The sequence below is a fragment of the Homo sapiens genome, chromosome 21 (genome assembly GCF_000001405.40).
Source record: "Homo sapiens chromosome 21, GRCh38.p14 Primary Assembly".
Lineage (NCBI taxonomy): Eukaryota > Metazoa > Chordata > Mammalia > Primates > Hominidae > Homo > Homo sapiens.
In genome coordinates this window covers 5,683,590-5,710,930 of record NC_000021.9, presented here as the reverse complement: position 1 = coordinate 5,710,930, position 27,341 = coordinate 5,683,590, and the positions used below count along the sequence as shown (strand labels likewise).

Here is a 27,341-nt window from a genome sequence, read left to right as displayed (position 1 = left end):
TTTGCTTGACTTGCTGTGATATCTAATTGCTACTATTTATGGATACTATGGAAATAAATACTAAATAGAATGGGAGATAGGTTATTCTCAGAGTTTTTTTTTTTTTTTTTTTTGCAAAGATGACTGTTATTAAAGGTAGATGACTTTCCAGCATGTCGAAAGGGGCGTGGCAGGGGAGGGGCGAGGAGAAGGGTCGGGGCTGAGGGAGGGGCCCTGCAAAGGTCTGGGCGCGCCCAGCTCCCCGAAAGCAAGCGTTACAGCAACGCTGGGCAGGCTGTTGGAGGCTCCCGGGCTCTGTCTTGTCAGAGAGAAATCAAACTTCAGGCACAAATAGTCGTACAACTGGCACGTGGGGAGACTGTGCCACAATTACAAGTGAGACCACCTGCCCTGGCCACGCTGTCTCCTCGCACGCAGAAGTTTGGGAACAGATAGGCTCCCCTCAGCAGGGCGGAATTGCACTGGAAACATGGAGGGGCGGAGGAGAAGATGAAATTATCCCCTCAGTGTTGGAACTGTAGTCTCAGAGAAGATGAAATTTTCCCCGTAGTGTTGGAACTGTAGTCTCAGATCCACTCCCAGCCTTTCTGTCGCGGCAGTCGGACTATGATCCCAGCATGCGCTGGGCTTAAGGGAGGTTCCCAGCCCTGGAGGAAGGGTCAACAGGGTGGGTCCCTCGCAAGGCGTCCTGGGAGTCATAGTCCTTAAACAGTTTCCAGCACGTTGATCGCAAGGCTACCGAACTACAATGCCAGCATGCACCGGGATTGGGGCGGTGTGTAACGCTGGAGGGAAGGATAGAGAGGCGCGTCCCTGGCCAGGGATGCTGGGAGTTATGGTCTCTTAACGGTTTCCAGCGATGGCCCCCGGCCTGCAGACTACAATCCCAGCAGCCACCGGGCTTCGAGGCGGTGTGTAGCACTGAAGGGAAGGATAGGGAGGTGCGTCCTTAGCCAGGCGTGCTGGCAGTTATGGTCTCTTAACAGTTTCCAGTCAGTTGGTCCCAGGACTACCTGACTACAATCCCAGTATGCGTTGGGCTTGGGGGCGGTGCGCAGCCCTAGAGGAAGGATCGGGACGGCGGGTACCTCGCAAAGCATCCTGGGAGTCATAGTCCTTTCAGTATTTCCAGCCCATTGGTCGCGAGGCTAACGGACTACAATCTCAGCATGCGCTGGGTTTGGGGGCGGTGTGTAGTATGGAAGCGAAGGATAGGGAGGCGCGTCCCTAGCTAGGAGTGCTGGGAGTTATGGTGTCTTAACGGTTTCCAGCCCATTGGTCGCCGACCTGCTAACTACAAAACCAGCATGCGCTGTCTGTCCTACCCCGTGGTGCGCAGCCCTGGAGGGAGGGACAGGGCGGTGTGGACTCGTCCTTTCCTAAGCGATGCCACATGCTGATTCTGTGCCACCCCCTCGCCAAGGGAGTCCGCAGAAGGACTTGAGGGGCAGGTCTAGGCTGGGCGATGAGGACGGTGTGACCCTGCGAAGTGCACCTCCCTTGCTCAAATCGGAGGGGTCTGGTCCTCACTGAACAGCCCGCTGAACATCTCGGTGTCCTCTCACATACACACCCGCGGGGGGTTTCCAGAGCATCGCACCTCTTCCAGCCCAGGGAGCCGCCTGCTCTGCTAAACTCTATGGGAACTGAGACATCCACCTGCTGCGTGACCCACCCGTGCGCAACTTCAGAGCTTTCAGGGGGTGATGCGGGCTGTGGCTCCTTCGTGAAAATGTCACCGTCTGCAGCGCCTTTCTTGTGATATAGAACTTGACGGGTGAGAGCGGGTATTTCTTGGGTTACTCAGGATCTGCTAACAGCAGAGGAGAAAACCACAATTCCCAGGCATAAGAATCTACCTAAAGACGATGGTTTAGATATTTTACAGTTGAAATCACCAGCCTCATCTCAACTGAGTCCTGACTGACGAGTGTCTCAAAAAAGCAGTTGGTGACCTCATCCCTCAGGAACAGGTGGTGCTCCAGCTTTGTGGGGATGACTTTCAAGGTGCAGAGCACTTGAGCCGCATTTGAAGTCATTCATGTTTTACATCTCTGCTTTGGATGGAAAGTTGATCCCCCACAGCCGTTGGGGATGTACCTTAATATACTGGGGCTTATGAGTTAAATTTTTCTGTCTAGACAATGAAAACCCAGAAGTTCCACTTGCAGGTAGCCTCTTAATAATCGACGTCCCTAAGTTCCTTATGTCCTCAGGATAGTTCCTTTTGTTCCCAGATGTTACCAACTTTGATGATGCATCTAATCTGTATAAACCTGTGTATTTCTCTATGTGAAAAGAATACTTTGTTCAAATTACATGTTCTTATAATTTTCACTTGTGATCGGTGAGTATGGGACACTATAAAAAAATCCTGAAAAACCTCATCATAGCAATTGAATCACGTTACTGTACTTTATGAGGAATTAACCCCTTCAGGATGAATTACTCATGGGTTCATCAGCACATTTGTGAAGAAAGGAAGAAAAACTGTATGGCCTTTATGAAATTGGAAAAATAAAGAACTATATATAGGAGGACCACAGCACAATACTAGGGCCCTTCTCTTATTTTAAATAGACTCTATGGGGTCGAATGCCTGCATTCCTAACCTATCCTGCAGTATTCTCATCCTACTCTTCACTGTGTATTTAGGTGTGGGTTTCTGAATTCACTTGTCCACAGCGTTAGTGGGGATGTTGTAACGTGAGGGTATCCATCATCTATCATCTTAATAATTAGTGAAGAGAAGAGCCTTGAGATCTGTCTTCAGATACACTGCTGCCGAGTATGTGCCTGCAAAGACACTGCCCACACCGGTGGTCTCAGAAAGTTGAACCTGATGCCACCACAAGCTGCTGTTCACAGATCTAGGTGCTCCTGGTGATTTGAGTCTCCTGCTTACATTTGTGGTTGTGAACCTGCTATGCTCACCCCATTTATGGTAGTATATTTTGTGTCACCTTTTCTATTCCATTTGTTTCCTGGGAACTCACTGTGTAGCTGCAATTCAGAGAATATGTAGGGATTCCACCCCCGACTACCTAAGTCACTGTACACTGGTCACATTTGTGTCATGTTTTCAGACTACACACTCTTCCTCTCTAATGGAATTTGTTGAAGAAATATAGTTGCCTGTAGATCTCCTCAGTGTAATGTGGCTGGGATTGATTGTGAAGCTGGGCATGTTGTCCTTGGCCTCATAGACATTATTCAAAATACCTTTCCCATATTTTGAAGTTTGATACTACTTTGTTAATGTGAACACTTGCCATAGCAGGCTCTATTAAATATCTCTGTGAATTTAACTGTCAAAACAACTTATGAAGTAGGCACATGATCCCCATTTTACAGGTGAGGAAACAAATGTTCCAAGATTTTGAGTAATTTTATTAACTTTACACAGCTTTCTGGTGCATTTTGAATCTTAAGTTGGATCTCTTTCTCCACAATATATGGGCTTACCTCCTTTTCTATTTTGTGCCTCTCTGCTAGCATCTGCAAGGGTACATTTTATTTTTAGTACATCTTCCACTTGATGGTAGGAAACTTGACAAACAGATCCTTAGTGGGAGAGGAAACTCACTGGCATTTGTCCTTCTCTCTGCTCCTTCTTACCCTGGCAGGCATGAGACTTATCAAGTGAGATGGAGCAGTGGTAGATCCTGACCAGTCCTCACCTGGAATATTTGTTATTATAAAAAAATAGTCCTCTCATTTTTTACAAGTGTAACTTCTTTGCCTTAAAGTTTTGTCTGGGCTTTCTCTTACAGGTTCCTGCGAATTAAGTTGCAAATATTGATGAAGATAATACTACTGCCTTGCTGTCAAACAGTAACAGTCACCTTTTTTTGTATCTCCAATTATAAATGCAATGCGTACTGTAAAAAGAAAAGAAAACATCATAAATATCTTTATAAAGTAAAAGTCTTGGCTGGTCGCCGGGAGCAGTGACTCATGCCTGTAATCTCAGCACTTTGTGAGGCCGAGGTGGGTGGATCATGAGGTCAGGAATTTGAGGCCAGCCTAGCTGACATGGTGGAACCCCATCTCTGCTAAAAAATACAAAAATTAGCTGGTCTCGGTGGCGGGTGCCTATAATCCCAGCTACCCACGAGGCTGAGGCAGGAGAATCACTTGAACCCAGGAGGCAAATGGTGCAGTGAGCCAAGATCGTGCCATTGCACTCTAGCCTGGGCAACAGAGTGAGACTCCATCTCAAAAACAAAACCAAACAAAAAACTTGGTTGGCCTAGTGGCTCAATCCCAGCACTTTGGGAGCCCAAGGCAGGTGAATTGTTTGAGCCCAGAAGCTCAAGACCAGTGTGAGCAACATGGTAAAACCCTCTCTCTACAAAAATACAAAAATTAACCAGTTGTGGTGATGTACACCTGTATTCCCAGCTACTAGGGAGGCTGAGGTGGGAGGATTGTTTGAGCCTGGGAGGCCAAGTTTGCAGTGAGCTGAAATCACACCACTGCGCTTCCATGTGGGCAACAAAGTGAGACCCTGACTCAAAAAATAAAAAACACATTAAACTGAAAGTCCCCTTTATTCCCTTCTCTTCAAACTCACTTTTTTTATTTGAAAAAACTGTTAAGAGGTTGTTTTTTATTCTTCTGGCTAAGTTGTATAAATTTCTTTTTTTTTCGAGACAGACTCTCGCTCTGTTGTCCAGGCTGGAGTGCAGCGGCGCGATCCCGGCTCACTGCAAGCTCTGCCTCCCGGTTTCACGCCATTCTCCTGCCTCAGCCTCCCGAGTAGCTGAGACTAGAGTTGCCCGCCACCACACCCGGCTAATTTTTTGTATTTTTAGTAGAGACAGGGTTTCACCGTGTTAGCCAGGATGGTCTTGGTCTCGATATCCGGCCCCCTGATCTGCCCACTTCGTCTTCTCAGAGTGCTGGGATTAGAGGCGTGAGCCACCGCCCCCGGCCTGTTCTATAAATTTCTAAGTGATACACACATAAAGTTTATTTTAAAAATTACATCACACTACATTAAAATTTACTCTTTCTCCAGGTGTATTCCATCTATCTATCTATCTATCTATCATCTATCATCTATCTATCTATGACAAGGCCTTGCTCTGTCACACAGACTGGAGTTCAGTAGCTCAATTATGGCTCACTGCAGACTCAAACTCTCAGGCTCAAATGATTTTCTAACTTCAGCTTCTGAAGTAGCTGGGAGTACAGGTGCATGCCACTACTCCTGGTTAATTTTTAGTTTTTGTTTGTTTTTTTCTTTAAACAGGGTCTCACTGTGTCACCTGGGCTGGAATGCAATGCATAATCACAGCTCACTCTAGCCTTGACCACTCAGGCTCAGGCAATTCTCCTGCCTCAGCCTCCTGAGCAGATGGGACCACAAATGTGTATTAACACACTTGGCTGTTTATTATTATTTGCAGAGACAGGGTCTCCCTATCCTGCCCAGGCATGTTGTGAACTCTTGTGCTTAAGCAATCTGCTACCTCGGCCTCCCAAATTGCTGGAATTACAGGTGTGAGCCACCACAACTTACCCAGCCTTTTTACTTTGTGTAAGAATAGCATCAGTGTATTAAAAATACAACGGAAATTATTTATGGTGTCTTTTCAATTCTTATGCATTAAAATTCTCTTATTAGGGCCTTTTATTAATGGTTACAGTGTATTTTCTGTGAAATTTTACTGTCACACACTGCATGCCAATGATTCAAGATACCCGAACTTCATGAATGCACAGTCACAGTAGAATATTTTAGTTATCTAAAAAGTATTTTCATAAATGATATATCAAGTTTATATGCAAGGTAGCCTGGTCTGGTAGCAGGTGCTTGTAATCTCAGTGAAGGCTGAGGCAGGAGAATGGTTTGAACTCAGGAGGCGGAGGTTGAAATGAGCCGTCGTCTCGCCACTGCACTTCAGCTTGGGTGACAGAGTGAGACTCTGTCTCAAAAAAAGAAAAAAACTTTGCTTGCAAGATTTTATGAGTAAATATGTTTCTTATTTTTCTTTACAATTCCATATTACTGTCTCGATTATTTATAATAGGTTCCAGGGCAGCAGTTGATTTTATTTTGGGTTTTACTTATGTATTATAACTTTGGATGTTATAATTTCCAACTCTGCCTGTACACTTCAAGTCAATGTGGATTTTTAAAAAAATGTTAATAGTACAAACTATTCATAGATTCAACTTCGTAATGTTAAAAGCAACGGCAGCTCCTGGTTTAAAAAGGGAACGGTGGAAGCAGCCGGCCATTTTATTTAAAATCGCGTTAGATTTTTCAGAAGGATGATAGTTAAGATCATTAAATCCCATTACTGCTTCTAAGATTTCCACAAAATAGCACATTAAATCCTCAGTCCTAAACAATCACGACAGAGATTCAAAATTGCCTCTCAATGTCAAGGTAAACAGCGCACTATCTTCTCTTGCAATAAAGGTACATCATTTGATATACAAGGGAGCATAGCAGTCAGACACTTACAAGATCGTGCTGTAGAAATAACTTCCATGTTTTCATCCGCCATGTGTATCCTCACCTCTGTCTCCCATGCAGTAACACTATCAGTTTCCTCATCTGTCCTTTCTACTTTCTTTTAAAGAGGAGGCTGATTGCAGACAATACATGACAGAGGCATTTCAAATCAGAAAGGAGTTTCTTGAGATATACGTGATTTTAGTTTTAAGTAGAATGTCCTGAAGAGTTTTAGTTACAATACCACCTTCAAGAGGATGGTGGTGAAATTCATAGTAAACATTTGGCAAAATATAGGTTATGAGGCAGCCATCTCCTAGAAACACTTCATCGGGGTTTATATATGAAATGTGAAATATCGTAGGTTTAATCCTGGCACAGAACCAAAACTGAGTGCATTGCACTTGAACAGCTGACCAATCCCCAGCACAGGTCCATATGAAGAAACGGAGAAGAAAGAATCCTTTTAACCACAGAAAGGTCTTCATTTGCCCAAACTGAAAACCAAATTTCACTCAGGAAACTAATGTTGGGTTTAATTAAAATATAAATCGGTCATACGTTTTCAAAATTAAATTATATATGTGTTTGTCTCTATAAATATGTCCCCAACTTTGCTCATGGCTTATCTTCCATATTTTTTGGCTGATTTTCAGTGGTTGTCTTATCTTGTGTGGATGAATAGTCATTGAAATAATCTTAATTTCACAATGTGTTTAATTATAAATCTATACTTCCTTTGTGTGAGAGAAAATCTTTTGTGAACAAAATTTAATTTTTGGAAAGCTTTATAAGTCCATATTTTTCCTTTTAAAAATTGCGATTGTGGTAAAAACACATAATGTAAAATTTACCATTTTAATTCTTTTTAAGTGTATATTTCATTAGCGTTAAGTACATTCACATAGTTATGCAAAAGATCTGTAGAACTTCTATGTCTTGCAAAACTAACATTAAATGTCTTTTAAGACAATTGCCCATTTTACCATCTCTTCAGTCCTTGACAAACACCATTCTAACTTTTTTTTTCTATGAGTTTGTCTACTTAAGATACCTGATTATGAATGGAATCATAGACTGTCACTTTGTTCCTGGCTTATTTCAGTTAACGTGATATTCTCAAGAATAATCATATAATGTGACTTTTTAAAGACTGAATAATATTCGACTTTGTGTATGTGCCACTTGTTGTTAATCTCTTCATTGGTCAAGGGACAGCTGGGTTGTTTCTGCCTTTTGGCTTGTGTTAGTAATGCTGCAATAAATTTGGGTGTGCAAATATCTCTTCCGGATCATGTGTTGTATATTTTAAATACATAGCCAGAATGGGGTTTGCTGGATTGTATAATAATCTCATTTTAAATTTTTTGAAGAGCTTTCATACTATTTTAAAAATAGGTTTGATGTGATAGATTATTGTGACTTTTCTTTGTATTTTTCTAGAAGAGAGTTGTCGAGTATCCTTTTAAATGCCTAGTCATTTCTATGTCTTCTTTGGAGAAAGTCATTTCAAACATGTGCCATTCTAAATCAAGTTATTAACTTTTTTTGTTGTTGAGTTTTAGGAATTTATATATTTTGAAAATTAACACCTACCAAATATGTGATTAGAAAATATTTTTACTCTTTTTAGTTATATGTATGTATGTATGCATATATATAACCCTATACAAGACAGGGTCTTGCTATGTTTTCATGGCTAGTCTCAAACTTTTGGTCTCAAGTGATTGTTCTGCCTTGGCCTCCTAAAGTTGTAGAATTAAAGGCATGAGACACCATGCCTAGCTTTCACCCACTTATTAGGTGACGTTTGTATGGCACTAAATGTTTTATTTGATGTGTAGAATAGTTGAAGCTTAATGTAGTCCCTTTTCTTGGTCGTTGTTCTTTTCCTTGTTGCTTATGAATTTGATGTCAAACTTAAGGAAAGAGTTTTAAGACTTATGTCATAAACTTTTCCCTTATGTTTACTTCTAAGAATTTTATTAGGTTTTATGTTTAAGTATTGAATTCATTTTAAAAACTTTTCTTTTTATATATGATACAAAGGAAGCATCCAACTTTATTTTTTTCTCTGTAAATATTCAATTTGGAAAACTCTTTGTTAAATGGATTCTTATTTTTCTATTGTGTGGTCATGGAAAGCTTACGGAAGATTATTTTATCACATATGCAAGGGTTTATTTCTGGGATCTCTATTCTGTTTCGTCATCTATGTATCTGTTTTTGTGGCAATACCACATTGTTTTTATTTTTGTAGCTTTGTATCATGATTTTGAATCAGAAAATGTAATACCTCTTTGTTCTTTTTAAAGGGTGTTTGGCTAGTCACCTGTCCTAAGCAACGTTTAGAATTATACACAAAAATTCTGCAAAAAAAATACCATTGGGATTTTGACAAAAATTACCTTACATTTTTATATCATCATGAGTAGTACTGACAACATTTTTTTTTTTTTTTTTTTTGGAGATGGAGTTTTAGTGAGTCACTCAGGCTGAAGGGCAGGGGTGCGAGATGTGCTCACTGCAGGCTCCGCTTCCCAGGTTCAAGCAATTCTCCAGTCTCAGCCACCAGAGTAGCTGGGATTGCAGTCGTGCACCATCACGTCTAGCTAACTTTTGTATTTTTAGTAGAGATAGGGTTTTGCCATATTCACTAGGCTAGTCTCAAACTTCTGATCTCAAGTGATCCACCCACTTTGGCCTCCCAAAGTCCTAGGATTACAGGCATGAGCCTCATGCCGGCCCTGACATCTTAACAATATTAAATCACCTGACACTTGAGCAAGACTATATGAAAGATTTTGCTTAATTTCCTCTTATTTACATATTTGCCACATTTTCTTGCTTTTGAATTCTAGTTTCATTTACATTGTATGGCTTCAGTTTTCTTAAATTTAATAAGACATGTATCCTAACAGAATGTACCATGTGTGATTTAGAATATTGCAGATTTTGCTCCTTTAAATTGGAGAGTTCTGTAAATGCTGGTTGGGTCTATAATGTTCAGGTTTGGCTTTCTTACTGATATTACTTCTGACTATTCTAGTCATTACTGAAAGTGGAGTCTTGAAGTCCACCATTGTTGTGTTGCTATGTATTTCTTGCTTGACTTCTGTCAATATTTGTTTTACATATTTGAAAGACGAGAATCAGTTGAACCTGGGAGGAGGAGGTTGAAGTGAGCCTATCGAGAGATCATGCCACTGCCCTCCAGCCAGAGAGAAAGAAACTCTGTCTCTAAAAAAAAAAAAAGAAAGAAAGATGTCAGTGCTATTTATAGTAATACAAAAATTTAATGTAATTTTTGTCAAAATCTCAGTGGTATATTTTTGCAGATTTTTCAAATTATATATATATGATTTATAAATTATTGTTATAGATTCCTGGAAAGTTAATCCATCTCACCATTACATAATACCAATCTCTCTCGGCCGGGCGCAGTGGCTGACGCCTGTAGTCTCAGCAATTTGGGAGGCCGAGGCGGGTGAATCATGAGGTCCAGAGATCGAGACCATCCTGGCCAACAAGGTGAAACCCCATCTCTACTAAAAAGTACAAAAATTAGCTGGGTGAGGTGGCGGCGTGTGCCTGTAGTCCCAGCTACTCGGGAAGCTGAAGCAGGAGAATCGATTGAACCAGGGAGGTTGTGGTTGCAGTGAGCCGAGATCGTGCCACTGCACTCCAGCCTGGTGACAGAATGAGACTCTGTCTCCAAAAACAAAAACAAAAACACAATACCAATCTGTCTCTTGTTCATATTTTTGATTTAAAATATATTTTGTTTAGTATAATTATGACCATGGCCCTCCAATTTTAGCTACTCTTTGAATAAAATATATTTTCTTTATACTGTTACTTTCAACTTATTTGAGTCCTTAGAGCTGAAGTGACTCTTGTAGAGAGCAAATTGCTGGATCTTCTTTGTTCTTAATCCATTAAATTATTTATTAATTTTCTTTAAGGTATTTAACTTTTTATATTTGAAGTAATTACTGCATTTAATGAAGTTACTTTATTATTTGTAATTGTCTTCTGTGTTTCTTGTAGATGTGTTATTTATCATTTTTTCTCTTACTGCTTTATTTCTGTTTGTTGATTTTGTAGTGACGTGATTGAATTTCTTTCTCATTTGCCTTTGCATACATTCTACAGGTTTTTTTTGGTAATCATCCTGAGAAATAAAGACTTCATAAATCATCTTAAAGTTATGACAGTATAGAACAACTATATTTCAACTGAATGCAAAGTTGTACCTCTTGACACCCCCACTGTTTTATTAATATCGCATATTATCTTTCCTTATGGTCTATGATCACAAATTTATGCAGATTTCTGCCTCATGTTTTAAACTCCATGGCAATATTTTGAAAGTTTTGTGCACCATGATTATGACAGTAGAGATTTCTTTACCTGTTTATATATTTACCTTTAATAGAGAGCTTTCTATTTTCATGTGCTGTTATGATGCTCTGCAGCATCATTTCATTTTTGGACGTGATAGACTCTTTTACACTTCCTTTAGGACTGTTCTAGTGGTTAGTAACACAATCAACTTTTATTTATTTGGAAAGGTTTAGTTTTTTTATTTCTGAAGTGATATTACTCCAGTTGAAGGTTTTTGTTTGGAAGTATTTCTTCTTGTTTAATTATCTTGCCATGTGGGGATTTCTCAGCTACTTTTTAAAAATAACCTCTTTATTACTTTTCTCCTATATTGTTTTTGTAAGACTCCTTTCATAAATATAATGGTCCACTTGACCATGTGCAGTACTTCCCATACTTTTTCCTCCATTCTGCTTAAAAAATTTGTTTTCATCACTCAATATTTATAACTACAATGTCATCAATTGTGTAATTTTTTCTCCTTTATTAGTCTGCTTTTGTGACTGTTGATTAAATTTTTAATATAGCTATTATGTTCTTCAGATTCACAATTGTTGGTTTTTAAAAATCTTTTTATTGATATCTCATTTTCTTTATGTATCACTTCTTCTAATATTCTTTTGTTGTCTATGTTCTGTTTTTGTTCATTAAGCAGTTTTTTCTAATCACATTTTATTGAAAACTGCACTGAATGCTAAATGTCCATCTTTACAATAAACAACTACAGTAACGGTAATTCGCACTACACTAAAACAAAACGTACTTCTGATAGCCATTATTTTTCTGTTTGGGACAGTCTTAAAAATTTCTCTTTTCTTACAAAAACGGGAATGTACCTAATCAAAGGATCAAAACAGGCCATCTTTTTAAACAAAAAGACTATATTCACAAAAGACTATAAATAGAACATGTAACTAATTGATGCAAATCTAATATAATTTGTTAAAATCAGTCACATCCAATACAGCTGAAGTGTTCTTGTATAAAACACAACGTGAAGAAAAGAAGACTTTATCAATGTCTTAAAAAGTGGGTTTGTTCATAGACAATCTGACAAGTTACCATTAAAAGTGTTTCCTGTGACATAAGAAAATGCAACACTATTTTTCTTGAACCCTTTTAGTGCAAGACTTCCCACTAAATAAAATAGCAGAGGATCTGAAACTGAGAAAATATACTTGATTACAAACAGCGTGTGAAACTTAATACTTTTTTTTTTTTTTTTGCATTATCAGAGGCTTTTACTGAACTTACAACCAACTTGCCCGCTCAGTATGCAGTTCAGATGTGAGAGACGCTTCTCTGTACAGGAGCCGGTACTGTCTTCAATCTTATGTGTGAGGATGTCTACCATAGGCAAACAGTTTACTCCATATTTTCTAGTAATGTGATCTTCCTATTAACAAAATGCTGTAACCAGTCCCTGTAGACTGAAGGGACTCAAGTCACAAGATGGGGATTTCCTCCTCATGGTTTTTATTTTGATGTTTGAAGTCTTGATGCAACATTCTGAGCAGGGTGTTCCAGACCTGCTGTGCCCAAGGGACTGATAAAGGAAAAAATTGTATTCATTCTTTGTGATTTGATGCACAGATGAAAAACTAAACACATAATAACGGAAGTTGGTGGTTAATAAATCACATCCTAGTCTTTCAGAGCTTCCGTAAGCAGACGACATCTGCAGTTTTCTAGGTCTTGCAGTTTTAACAGTGCAAAACCAATGAGCATATGTCCAGAATCAGCTAAAAAGAGCGTCAGATTCTTTTTCTCTTAGTTTGTCTATTTTTCACTGTCTCTTCTTCAAAAGTGTATCTGAATGATTACCTTCCGGCATTCTCTGTTATTACTCGTTGGGGTGCTCTCGATTGTCCCCGTGTTTGAGGGCTGGTTGGGAGAGGGTGCTTGGGAAGGATGTGCCACTGTGGGGAGTTTGTGAGTCACCGGGATGCCTCCAGGGAATGTCCCTTCCATGGATGCAGGAAGTCCTCCTGGACCCACGCCCAAGATGCCTGGATGAATTTCTTGCTGGTCTATTTCCCACCAAAGCACAGATGTGACAAAGAATTCCTCGTTCACACAGTTTCTTAAGCTTCCTGGGATGCGACCTGTGATGGCTCGGCGGAGCTCGGTGGCAGCTGTCTCCCTCATCTCCAGTGACACCTGCTGGCTGTAGCAGGCAGTGAGAGGAGTGCAGATGAGATTGGGGGCATCTTTCAACGGACCCTGAGCAAAGCTAAAGGGCTGCGACTCGTTCACGTCGACGACTGCCCTTCGTATCCTGCCTTCCTTGAGGGCCTGTGCTAAGGCTCTCTCGTCCACCAGGCCACCACGGGCTGCGTTCACAAGGAATGCTCCCTGCCTCATCTGCTTTATGGTAAAGTCATTGATGAGGTGGTGCTTAAGTTCGTTGAGACTGCAGTGCAAGGAGATGCAGTCGCTCTGATACAGCCAATCCTGCAGGGTGTAGACCCTCTGCATGCCCAGGGACTGCTCGATCCCATCCTGCAAGTAGGGGTAATAAAACATGACGCTGAATCCAAAGGCTGTGGCTGGAACTGCAAAAGCCTGCTGCGTGCGACCCTAGCCGATGAGGCCCAGCGTCTTCCCACGAATGCGGGCCACTCCCGAGGCCACCTCGCAGATCTGCTCCATGCTCTGAACCCGCTTGCCTTCCCACAGTGCCTGGTACAGCCATGTGTTCCTCCGGTACATGTTGAGAATGTGGCAGTTGGTGGAATTGGCTGTCTCTTCCACGGCTGCGGACGGGATGTTTCACACAGCAATTCCGAGCTCGCTGGCAGCCTTGATGTCCACGTTGTCATAGCCACTGCCCACCCCCACGATCACTCTCAAGGACTTGAAATTTGCCAGAACCTCCCTGGTGAGGTGATTGTGTGGTGCATCATGGGGCCCACGGCTCTGTTTAGAACTTTCTCGTGGATTTCCTGCGTGGACTGCATCATAGAAGGCCACGGTGGCCTTCAGGATGGGCATGTCCACAGTGCAGTCACGGCCGACCAGGAACGCTGCCAGTGAGCGGGGGCTTAGGGGGTCTTTCGTGATCTGGCGGCGAATTCCTTCACAAATTCTGTCCAATCGCTGTCTCTTGACTTAGCGCTTATCCACAGGGCCATTCTTTACGGAACTTTGCAACTCTCAGATCAAAAGGTAAAGCAGTCCTCTAAGAACTTAGGGGAACTCGCAGGAGTCTGTGTGCATGATGCCACTATGAACCCAATATAAATTTGTTCACAAACTCTATAGTTCACACGATGGGCTGTCCGTCTCTTTAAGGGAATATAGCTTCATTGGTTCAAAACCATTTAAGGTGATGAAACCCATTTGGTTGCAACTCAGCCACCATCGCGCAGTCAATCAACGAATCTCACCACGACCCCAGGTCTGGAGCTCCTGGAGTCCGCGACCGCTGGGGGTGGAGGCGGCTTCGGCCTGGTGCAGCCAGGTCCTTGCTCCTGCTCTGAGCCTCGGGCGTGGGTTGGGGGTCCACCCGGGTGTCCCGCATGGTGTCTAAGCTCCTCCCTTGCCGGAGCCCTGCGGACTGGAGGAGTGTTCATATCATTAAGGAGCTTTGATAATTATTTTGATTTTCAAAATTATATAATGCAAAAACAACAACAACAAAGAATAAACCTACAAATTTTGACCTTTAAAAGTCAACAAAGATTTTTAAAGATCAATATTTGTAGGTTTATTTTATTTCTTCAATTGGGACATGTTTTCGTCCTTTTCTGTATGCCCTGCAATCTTTTGATGAGATTCAGAAATTTATAAAACAACTGTGTAATGTAGTATGTACAAACTTGCTTACTACAAGATAATACAACAATCAGTGAGGCTGTACATCCTGGTTCTTCATTAACAGTGTCTTCAATGTGTCTTCTCTGGGCTTGTGTGTGGATTTTTAAGGTAAAGATATTTTTTCCCATTGTTTTCCAGACACTGTGGTCCTTTGCTTCCGCAGTTGATTGTAGTGTTTGTTTCTCTGAGGCTGTGGTAAGCATGTAACTTCTCTTCTCAGCAGTCATAAGTTATCATTCTCATTACTCTGCCATTTCCTTTAGCATTCCCTGTTTGGGGAGACAGAATCTAGTCATCAGCGGTAGCCCACAAAGCCAAACCTTTGAACATATGTTCCACTGTTCTCATTCTATACTGAGGGATATACTAAAAGTTGGACGTTTTCTCTTGAGCCCAATTGCTGTTCTGGGAAAGAAGAAGGGATGTGGTGAATATAAGCCAGACCTGGTTGCCTCGTACAGCAAGCTTTTCCAACCCGCCTTGTTTTGTTTTTGTTATGGCTCTGTTTTGTTTTAGGTTTTTAGCAGCCTGCAGCAATGGTTTTTGGGTTCTGTGTCTAGTGATAAGTGGAAAAGGGGGATGAGGAAAGGGCCTTACTGGCTCAACCAGAAACAGAAACTAAGAACTCATGGCTGTAGTCTCCCGTGGATGCCCCTGTCCTACAGTAAAGGAAATGTCTTTGGAATGTAAAAAGAGAGAGAATAATAGGCAACACCCCAATAGGGAAGAATAAACAAATAACAAAGATGAGAGGTGCAAAGGCCAAGGAGAAAACCTTAAAAATGTGGTGTTGGAAGTTCTGCTTCAAAGAAATTGGTTCTGGAAAATTCTAAATTTACTTCTTTTGCTGCCACAGGTGGAAATTTCCTACCCTATGCTTATTATGCTCTTAAATCTTCTAAGGCTTCTCTGTTCATCCACTAACATTCCAGGGCATTCACAGTGACAGCCAAAGTTCACCTCTTCTTTCTGCTATTCCCATGAAGCTCTTGTGGTCTGAGTGCTTTTCCATTGTTTTTGGGATCTGAGGAAATCTGCACATTTTGTGAGACTTCTATGTTAAGCTGTTTTGTAAAAATCTGTGCCTCATGTCAGAAGTTTGTGAGAGCAAAAGTGCAGGCATTGGGGTTTGGTTCACATATTTCAGAAACACCAAGGACAAATGTTTCCTCCTCATAATTTTCAGTCCTATTATTTCAAATGTGTTCCTGCAAAAAAATCAGAAAAAAAATTTATCAGAGCCCAAAGCACCTCAGCAGATATGATAAAGTTGAATCTTCTATTTCACTTTATTCTTTTTTTCATCTCTGGTAATGTAGGTCAAAAAGTTTTCTTTCCCTTAGTAGAAACTAACTTAGAAATGTGAACTCTCTATGCCAAACATATCACCTATGGAATAGTTTATTGTATCTACTCATCTCAAAGAATTTTTAAGGACCTTAATCCATAGAAAAACTTAGAAACATGCCAGGAATAGAACAAATTCTTAACTGTTACATTATTTCTTAATGAGTTATTTTATTAATTAATCTTATATAAAGCTTAGTGGGACTGTGATCTGTATGTTTTCCCTGTCCTGTTTTTACGTATGTCAAATTAGCCTATAACTTTAGCTTCAGGGGTTTCAGAAAACATACTTGAATTTATGTGTTATATAAAAAGTGAATTGGATGATATGCACATCACATTAAGAAAAGTTTTAGTTTGTGTCTAAGTTCACTGCATAGAAAAACTTATCATTAGTGTTTCCATTTACTTTCCTCAACATTTATCTGAATGATAGTATAATTTATTTCTAATTGCTTATTATATTGTAGTTTTCCACAGCATATTTTACAATATTCATGTTGTTCCCATATGTAAAAATGTAAGGCTTTTCTTTGTTTTAAAAATAATAAATTATAGGCCAGTGCTGTGTTTCATGCTTGTAATCACAGCACATTAAAAGGTCGAGATAGGTGGATCATGAGGTCAGGAGTTCAAGACCAGCCTGGCCAACATGGTGAAATCCTGTCTCTACTAAAACTACAAAAAATATCGCCGGCGAGGAGCGGTGACTCAAGCCTGTAATCCCAGTACTTTGGGAGGCCGAGACGGGTGGATCACGAGGTCAGAAGATCAAGACCTTCCTGGCTAACACGGTGAAACCCCGTGTATACTAAAAATACACAAAAATTAGCCGGGCGTGATGGTGGGCGCCTGTAGTCCCAGCTACTCAGGAGGCTGAGGCAGGAGAATGGCGTGAACCAGGGAGGTGGAGGTTGCAGTGAGCCGAGGTCTCGCCACTACACTCCAGCTTGGGTGACAAAGCGAGACTCCATCTCAAAAAATTAAAAAAAATAAATAAATTATAGCCTTTCCATTTGTATAAAAAGAGGAGTAATATATTAAGAACATAATAAAAAGTGTCTCTAATATCATTGAAATCTTTATTAAAATTTTCTTCTAAATGCTCTTTATGGGAGATTATAATGTATTTGTTGTGCAATTTTGTTACTCTAACCATATGCTAAGAATTCAAAATCTGCTCTTTATGGGAGCCCAGTTATGGTTGAACATGCTAGTTATCTGGAAAGAGTCTTCTTCCGTTGCATGCTTTGTTTATTCGGTATTTCACAGGCTAATGTTTATTTAATTTTATTTTCTAATATTATATATTCTTGTATTTCCTTGTTAGGATAGGCTGCCTTACATTATTTAATTGTGTTTTTAGATTCTGCCTATATATTATAATTTTGTATGACTATATTCAACTGTGTACAGTTGAATATGAATCAGTCAAATATGAATCAACCACACGTCTATTGCCAACATAATTCTCTGTTCATTTGCTTGTATAAACATTACTCATACTTTATTTATGACTTGTGTATTTGTTTAATTAGTTGGTGGTCAATTATTTTTTTAATCCTCTCTGGGTGAGTAGTTGTGGAAATTGTCTTAATTTCCACTTCTATATATTAATGAATCTATATTACTTTTGTGTTGAAGGAAACACTTCTGTGATTTGAAGTTAATTTTTTTTTACCTCTGAACTTTTTACTGGCCTCCTGCTCCCCAAAGGGACCTTGCTTCTGATGGCTTAGCACAACAAAAAGTCTGTATTGTTGGTCTCAGACACCACTTTCCCGTCCACTATCCTGCGGGGGCTGTTCTTTTGGATAGCTTGCAGGTATTTACTGCTGTCCAGAGCATCCAGGAGATTGAAATCCTCCCCGTCTTCTAGCAGGCGGCAGTAAGTGGCAATCTCAGCCTCCAGCTCGACCTTGATGTTCCACAGGTCCTCGTGCTCTTGGGCGTGGTACCTCTCTTCCCGGTTTTGGGATAGCTCTGACTCCAGGTGCAGCAGGATCCTGTTGAGCTGCTCCATCTGCGTCTACCTCCCTTAGGCTGTTCTCCAAGCTGACTTTCAGATATCTCATTGAGTCCAGTTCGATATCCAAGGACTGGACTGTACATCTCAACCCCCTGAGCATCCTCTCAGCAGCTCCGATCTCAGCGGACTGCATGGTGACTACTCTGGTGCTCTCCTCAGTCTGCTGGGACCAGTACTTGTCCAGCTCCTCTCAGCTGTTCTCAGCCATCTCGTCATATTGGGCCCAGATGCCTGTCATGATCTTGCCAAGGTCCTGAGACTTGGGGACATCTACCTCCATGGTCAACCAAGAGCTGGAAATCAGGTATTATAGACCTTTAACTTCCTCCTCATGATTCTTCATGAAGAGCAGCTCTTCCTTGAGGGCCTCCATCTCTGTCTCCAGCAGAGGCTGACTGACACTGGTGTTATCAGTAATGTCGCACTCCACAAACTGGCACATGGCCAGGTCTGTCTCACACTTTAAAGTCATCAGCAGCAAAATGATCATTGTCAGTCTGCAGGATGATGCAGGCACTGTCTGCAGCAGTGGCAAAGATTTTTTTATTAGTCTAATTGTCTGTCTTTATGCTAGTAACATAAGATTTTGATTACTGTAGATTTCTAACATGTCTTGAAATCAGGAATTGTAATGCTTCCAACTTTTTTTATGTGGTCCCCTGAAATTCCGTATACTTTGGGGAGTCACATTCTCTGTTTCTGTCAAAAATAATATTAAGAATTTCATAGGGATTGTATTAAATCTGCAGCTCACTTTGGGCATTATAGACACGTTCAAAATATTAAATTTTTAACTCTTGAACAAAAACATGTTGAAGAATAAATTGTTTAATTATCATGTATTTGTGAATTTTATGAATTTTCTTCGGTTATTGATTTCTAGTTTTAATCCATTTTGGTCAGAAATTATAGTCTGTAGCCTTCAGTTTTTATTATACTTTAAGTTCTAGGATACATGTGCAGAACGTACAGGTTTGTTATACAGGTATACATGTGTTATGTTGGTTTGCTGCACCCATCAACTCAACATTTACATTAAGTGTTCTCCTAATGCTATCCCTTTCATAGCCCCCCACCCCCAAACAGGCACTAGCGTTTGATGTTCCCTGTCCTGTGTCCACATGTTCTCATTGTTTAACTCCTACCTATGAGTGAAAACATGCAGTGTTTGTTTTTCTGTCCTTGTGATAGTTTGCTGAGAATGATGGTTTCCAGCTTCATCCATGTCCCTGCAAATGACATGAACTCATCCTTTTTTAAGGCTGCGTAGTATTCCATGGGGTATATGTGTCACAATTTCTTAATCCAGTCTATCATTGATGGACATTTGGGTTGGTTCCAAGACTTTGCTATTCTGAACAGTGCCACAATAAACATACGTGTGCATGTGTTTTTATAGTAGCATGATTCATAATCCTTTGGATATATACCCAGTAATGGGATTGCTGGGTCAAATGGTATTTCTGGTTGTAGATACTTGAGGAATTACCACACTGTCTTCCACAGTGTTTGAACTAATTTACACTCCAACCCACAGTGTAAAAGCGTTTTTGTTTTTCCACGTCCTCTCCAGCATCTGTTGTTTCCTGACATTTTAATGATCCCCATTCTAACTAGCGTAAGATGGTATCTCATTGTGGTTTTCATTTGCATTTCTCTGATGACCAGTGATGATGAGCAATTTTTCATGTCTGTTGGTTACATAAATGTCTTCTTTTGAGAAGTGTCTGTTCATATCCTTTGCCCACTTTTTGATGGGATTGCTCGTTTTTTTCTTGTAAATTTGTTTAAATTCTTTGTAGATTCTGGATGTGAGTCCTTTGTCAGATGGGTAGATTGCAAAAATTTTCTCCCATTCTGTAGGTTGCCTGTTCACTCTAATGATAGTTTCGTTTGCTGTGTAGAAGCTTTTAAGTTTAATTAGATTTCATTTGTCTATTTTGGCTTTTGTTGCCATTGTTTTTGGTGTTTTAGTCATGAAGTCTTTGCCCATGCCTATGTCCTGAATGGTATTGCCCAGGTTTTCTCTTAGGTTTTTATGGTTTTGGGTCTTACATTTAAGTCTTTAATCCATCTTGAGTCAATTTATGTATAGGGTGTAAGGAAGAAATCCAGTTTCAGTTTTCTGCATATGGCTCGCCATTTTTCCCAGCAACATTTATTAAATAAGAAATCCTTTCCCCATTGTTTGTTTTTGTCACATTTGTCGAAGATCCAATGGTTGTAGATGTGTGATGGTATTTCTGAGGCCTCTGTTTTTTTCCATTGCTCTATATATCTGTTTTGGTACCAGTACCATGCTGTTTTTGTTACTGTAGACCTGTAGTATAGATTGAAGTCAGGTAGTGTGATACCTGCAGCTTTTCTCTTTTTGTGTAGGATTTTCTTGCCTATGCAGGCTGTTTTTTGGTTCCATGTGAACTTCAAAGTAGTTTTTTCCAATTCTGTGAAGAAAGTCAGTGGTAGCTTGATGGGGATAGCATTGAATCTGTAAGTTATCTTGGGCAGCATGGTCATTTTCATGATATTGATTCTTCCTTTCCAGGAGCATGGAATGTTCTTCCATTTGTTTGTGTCCGCTTTTATTTCATGGAGCAGTGGTTTGTAGTTCTCCTTGAAAATGTCCTTCACATCCCTTGTAAGTTGGATTCCTAGGTATTTTATTCTCTTTGTAGCAATTGTTGAGTGGGAGTTCACTCATAATTTGGCTCTCTGTTCATCTGTTATTGGTGTATGGAAATACTTGTGATTTTTGCACATTATTTTGTATCCTGAGACTTTGCTGAAGTTGCTTATCAGATTTAAGGAGATTTTGGGCTGAGACAATGGGGTTTTCTAAATATACAATCATGTCATCTGCAAACAGAGACAATTTGGCTTCCTCTTTTTCCTAATCGAATGTCCTTTATTTCTTTCTCTTGCCTGATGGCCCTGGCCAGAACTTCCAATACTATGTTGAGTGGGAGTGGTGAGAGAGGGCATCGTTGTCTTGTGCTGGTTTTCAAAGGGAATGCTTCCAGGTTTTGCCCATTCTGCATGATATTGGCTGTGGGTTTGTCATAAATAGCTCTTATTATTTTCAGATGTGTTCCATCAATACCTAGTTTATTTAGAGTTTTTATCATGAAAGGCTGTTGAGTTTTGTTGAAGGCCTTTTCTGCATCTATTGAGATAGTCATGAGATTTTTGTCATTGGTTCTGTTTATGTGATGAATTATGTTTATTGATTTGCATATGTTGAACCAGGCTTGCATCCCAGGGATGAAGCTGAATTGATCGTGGTGGGTAAGCTTTTGGATGTGCTGCTGGATTTGGTTTGTCAGCATTTTATTGAGGATGTTTGCATTGATGTTCATCAGGGATATTGTTTTTTTGTTGTGCTTCTGCCAGGCTTTGGTATCAGGATGATGCTGACCTCATAAAATGAGTTAAGGAAGATTCCCTCTTTTTCTCTTGATTCGAATAGTTTCAGAAGGGATGGTAGCAGCTCCTCTTTGTACCTCTGGTAGAATTCCGTTGTGAATTCGTCTGGTCATGGACTTTTTTTGGTTCATAAGCTATTAATTATTGCCTCAATTTCAGAACCTGCTATTGGTCTACTCAGAGATTCAACTTCTTCCTCGTTTAGTCTTGGAGGTGTGGATGTTTCCAGGAATTTATCAATTTCTTCTAGGTTTTCCACTTTATTTCCGTAGAGGTGTTTATAGTATTCTCTGATGGTAGTTTGTATTTCTGTGGGTTTCGTGGTGATATCCCCTTTGTCGTTTTTTATTGCGTCTCTTTGATTCTTCTCTCTTTTCTCCTTTATTTGTCTTACTAGTGGTCTATCTATTTTGTTAATCTTTTCAAAAAACCGGCTCCTGGGTTGATTGATTTTTTGAAGTGTTTTCTGTAACATTCAATTTTTTTTAATTCTGTTAAAAAATTTTTTTCCTTATATTTATTTTTAGGACAATGTTTTATGAGCTTTTGACAAGACTGTGAGTTTTGTTGTTGTGTAGAGTGATCTCTATGCATCTGTTACATCTAACTGTTTTACAGTATTTTCATGTCCTCTGTTTTCTTCTTAACATTCTCTCTGGCTTTATTATTAATTACAGAACTGGTGTATTAAAATATTGTTCTCAGTATATTGCAGTTTTTTGTTTATGTTCTGACAAAATATTATTGATTTATTTTAAAATCTTCATGTGAGGTTCATATATATGTGTGTCTGTATACATAATTAGATAAATACACACAATTATATAAATGTATATTATATAAATGTATATAATTTTCCTAGGTTTCCAGTGAATAAACTTTTTTATTATTTTGTCCTTTGTTTTCTTTGACAGTTTTAACTTATAATTTATTTTATAAACTAAGACAGTTATTTAAAAAGTATTTTGCATAATGTGCTCGTGACGTTGTCTTCATTTCATTACGATTTGCATAAAATTGTTTTGATGCATCTTGCCACTTTTAGTCTGTTTTTGTTACTATATAGTAAGATGGCTCATATCTGTCATCCGAGCATTTTAGGAGATTGAGGTGGGAGGTTAACTTGAGCCCAGAAGTTTGAGACCAGCCTGGGAAACAAAGCAATACCATGTCTCTAAAATAAATAAATAAATAAATAAATTGAATCCCCTGTAGACAGATGTAGTTAGATTTTATTTTATTTTTTATCTCTGTACTCTATTTATGACTTTTGTTTGAGAAGTTTAGTTTGTGAGTAGCTACATAATTTCCTGCATTTGAAGGAATTACTTTTGACACTTTTTGGAGTAAAAGGTAAATATTAAATTTGAACTAAATTGGACATGGACTCAAACAATGGTCACCAAGTCCCGGAACAGGTTGTGTGAGCCCCTTGAAGCCCTCATCCAGCGCTGTTTCAGATAAATCTCTATTTCAATTTATTCCTATATCTTAGTTATTGAAAAACAATAGACAATCAAAAAAACAAGTTGACCTTTTTGTGTTCCTTGAGCCCCGTTGTGAATAGCCTTCCTGACCGGACTTCATGCCAAATAACTCATTACAAAAAGAGCTGGGGTTCCAGACTGCGCCAAAGCTTCATGAGATCTCACGTTGTCTGTGGACGGATGAGTGGCCAATCTGGAGCCCAGGCTGTTGCTTCACAGTCTTGTGGTGAATCCTCCATAGTTTGGTGAGTTTAAATATATATATATATCTTTTCCCTTCTCCCCGTCCCATTGCAACTTGCTTATATATTTGCTTATTATATCTGCATTGCCATTTAAGTGGGATAAAGTTTGTTTGAATCACTGGCTGTGCGTGAGGTGCAGCAGGGAGTCCCAGTTGGTAATTGTAATGCTGAGGGAATTTCCCAGCATTGATGATGCTTGCTTACTTCTTATAAGTTAAAGTGTCAATGTAGGGACTGGTTGTTACAAGAGAAATGTAAGCTGGAAAAGGAAAATTTTAATCTGACTTCCAGACTGACCCTGGTACCATGCCAGGCCTGTCTTGACTGATCAGGCTCAAAGCTATCAGCCTATTGCTGAAAAAGCAGCTGTCCGAGTTGCCCAGTCAGGGTAAAACTGAATAACTAGTCAGTTTTCAGGGCAGAAGAGGGTAAAAACCCAAATCCTATCTCAAGGATGGGAAGTTAACTCTAATAAAATTCAATGGCCTGCACAAAGTGTAAAGTTCCTTGGCATCCTATGGACTGCAGGGAAACAGTCCATTTTACCAAAGGCTAACGCTAAAATACTAGAATTTGCAGCCCTACCACTGAAAAGGAGGTCCAAAATTGTATTGGCTTGTTTGGATTCTGGAGACATCATATTCCCCACTTGGGTAACATATTACAACCTCTGCATGCAGTCACTAGAAAACACTATGAATATCACTGGAGAGAGAAAGACAGCCTGGCTTTTCAACAAGCAAAACAAGCTGAGCAACTGGCCCTGGATCTATGGCCCTTATAGGATGAGTCAACAGAACTGCAAGTAACTGTCCTACATCAACATGCTAATTGGAGCCTTAGGTAGAAACAAGATGGGAAGAAGATACCTTTGGAGTTTTAGACCCAGAAGCTGCCAGAGGCTGGCAAAGCTTATACTCTTTGAGAAGCAGCTGTTGGCCTTCTACTGCGCTTGAAGGAAGCAGAACACCTTTGTTTTAATCATGATGTTTTTATGAGGCCCCAAATTCCTATTATGACTTGGGTCATGAGCTCCCTCAAAACCCATTGGATAGGGTACACTCAAGAATGTAGTATCATAAAATGGAAATGGTACATACAAGACCAGGATAAGCCAGAACTAAAAGCGGTATCATTTTTACTTGAAGATGTGCAAAACTTGCCAACTCAGGAAACCACAGGGCAAGTCCTGCATATAGGGAAGGAAACCTCCCCTGCCCAATGGGGCAAATCCTTTAAAGAACTAAGCCCAGAGGATCAGAAACACGCTTGGTTACTGATAGTTCCACCAAATACATTGATGGGACCTGATGCTGGGAGGCCGTGGCTTATAATCCTGTTAAAAACATAAGCGTTTCTGATGAAGGGAGGGGTGTGAGCAGCCAGCTGGCTGAACTAGAAGCCATCCTCCGAACTATTCAGGAGGAGGCCAGAGCAATTTGTTGCTTGTATACCGACTGTTGGTCAGCAGAAAATGGTCTTACTACCTAGTTGCCCGAATGGCAATGAAACAAATAGTGAATAATGAATAAAGAGGTTTGGAGAAAACAATACTAGGAAGATACCTGAATCCTGATGCACATTACTATTATTGCTGTTTTTCATATTGATTCTCATGCATCTCTGCATTCTCTTGACAGACTAAACAGCAGGTAGATCAACAGGCCAAAATTTCCAGCATAAATGCAAACTTGAATGTGGGTGAATGGATTACAACACATTCAAGCCTGGCGATGAGACACATTATAATGTATGGTGGTATAATTGATAATGATTACCAGGAACAGTTAAAGTTCACTTTACACAATACCACTCCACATTCTTTTGTTACAAGACCGCAGATTCGGGTTGCTCAATTGTCAGTGGTACCTGGTACCTTGTTAACAATTAACCCCTGAGGAAATCTCTGCCCCAACAGAGGCTACGTACAGAACTGGGAAATTAAGATCCACTGGTATAGGTAGCTTAAATCCTGGAACGAAAATATGGATACAGCCTCCATCAGATCCCGCCCCTAAGGCTGTGACCTTGTAGGTATGGGAGCAGAAAATAAAAGGGTAGTACAGTTTCCTAAAAATGAAAAACAATATTATGTTCCCCTTCAGTTTTGTTGTTACAGAGAATAACCTGTCTACTAGTAATCAGTACCTGGGTCATCAGGTCTGAGGTGGAGAGTGAATTCATCAACTGGGCAGCAACCACTGCGACAGAAGCTAACCGCAGTCAATGCTGGCTATGCATCAAATTGCCAGAGGCCACAGGAAATGGACTGCCTTGCAGAGTTGTCCTTGCCAATATTTCTGAATGGCTCTGTCACTACAAATGGGGCCAAAACAACAACACTTGCAATCCAACCTGGACTTCCTTTGCTACTTTAATAACATCTTAATACACTATAATTGTAGTATAACCATTGCTGTCCCCTGGGGGGCCCTCTGGGTATGCAGACCCTATGGGTGGCCTATCTGCCCCCTTATTGGATGGGGAGATTCACTTGGGGGTGCCATTAATTCCATTCACCATCCGGGATAATATTCCCTTCCCCAATAATCTAGATGCTTACAAAGGTAGCTGGTTATGAACGTGCCAGACTCCCTGGTGGTGGAAAACTATCACAGTATTCTCCCTTGCCCCTCGTACAATCCTGCTTCAGCAACAAATTAAAATATTAAGTCCACATATAGTAAAAGCTCCTAAGATAGTAGCACTGGACTTCTGTTGTTATCAGAAGAACTTGTTCAGCTGTGTACTGTTGTGTTGCAAAATCGAATGGCATTAGGTATGTTTACCGCAGCCCAAGGAGGGGTTTGAGTCTTGCTGCATTCTGAATGTTGTGTGTATCCCTGACAGTTCTCGCAGTATTACTCTCCTTGCCGAAGACATGCAAGGACAAGTAAAACAGTTAGAATCTAACCATCAGGACCCCATCATGGACTGGCTGTCAAACTAGCATTGGCGTTGGCCGTGGTGGGTGTGGTTTCTATTAATTGTGCTTTTAATTCTCCTCTGCTCTATCTGTAATCTATACCAGTTGTGACTTCCCCGTATAACTGTAAAAATATTTTCCTATGATTCAGTGTCAAATTGAGGCTGAATGAGGAGGAAAAGTTAAATATTAAATTTGAACTCAATGAACATGGACAGAAACAATGGTCACTAAGTCCTGGAACAGGTTGTGTGAACCCCTTGTGGAATTCATCCAGCACTGTTTCTGAGAAATAGTTATTGAAAAACAACAGAAAATCGCAAAAACAAGTAGGCCTTTTCGTTTTCCTTGAGTCCAGTCACGAAGGGCCCTTGTGAGTGGGCCTCATGCCGAACAAATCGTTACAAAAAAAGCTATGGTCCCAGACTGTGCTGAAGCTTAATGAGACCTCTCCTTGTCTGTGCAGGGGTGGGTGGCTGACTCTGGAGTCCAGGCTGACGCTTTCCTATAGGCAAAGCTCAGGGAACAGAGGAGAGTCACATCAAATAGTTGATGAGTCAAGAGATATGTCACAGGGACTCCTGTATGCAGGGTCCAGACAGGAAATCCACATCGTTTTGGTGCTGAGCCCAGCAATATATTACAATGTCTTCTGAGGGAAGAACCAAGGCAAAAAATTAATGTCACTTTGGTGTTAAGCCCAGTGATACATCACAATTTCCACTGCAGGAAGAACCTAGGCAGAAGAGAATAGTTACATCAGCTAGATGGTGCCACCATTGATATGTCACAATCTCCACTTGAACAGGAATCAGTCAGCAGAAGCAAGTCACATCACCTGAGTGATGGGTGCAGAGATAAGTCACAATGTCCCCTGTAGGCAGAGCACAGAAAGGAGAGCTGCATAACCTGGGTGTTGGACCCAGCAATATAGCTTATATGGTAGACCCCTGGCAGAAAAATTACAAAACATGGGTGCAGCACCAAGTATATGTTATAATGTCCCCTGTGAGCAGCACCAAGGCAGGACAGGAGACTCGCATCACTTGGTTGCTAAGACAAGTGATCTGCTACAATCTTCTTTGTAGGCAGGGTGCACACACTTTTTTTAGGTGGTGAATGCAGAGAGATGTCCCAAGGCCCCCTGTGAACAGGGCTCAGGCAGTAGCCATCAATTCCCTAGGTATTATGCCCAGCAGTATGTCACAAT

At 40.4% G+C, this 27,341-nt stretch overlaps 1 long non-coding RNA gene and 1 pseudogene across 1 annotated transcript; one reads left to right on the top strand and one right to left on the bottom strand.

Moving 5' to 3' along the window:
• The first annotated feature begins 758 nt into the window (after window positions 1–758).
• Window positions 759–7,454, top strand: LOC124904990 (uncharacterized). Its single transcript, XR_007067799.1, has 2 exons — window positions 759–2,944; window positions 3,774–7,454. It is a non-coding gene; the product is annotated as an uncharacterized LOC124904990 (long non-coding RNA).
• A 1,728-nt stretch (window positions 7,455–9,182) lies between these two features.
• Window positions 9,183–15,851, bottom strand: CTBP2P11 (CTBP2 pseudogene 11; annotated as a pseudogene).
• Between the last annotated feature and the right edge of the window lie 11,490 nt (window positions 15,852–27,341).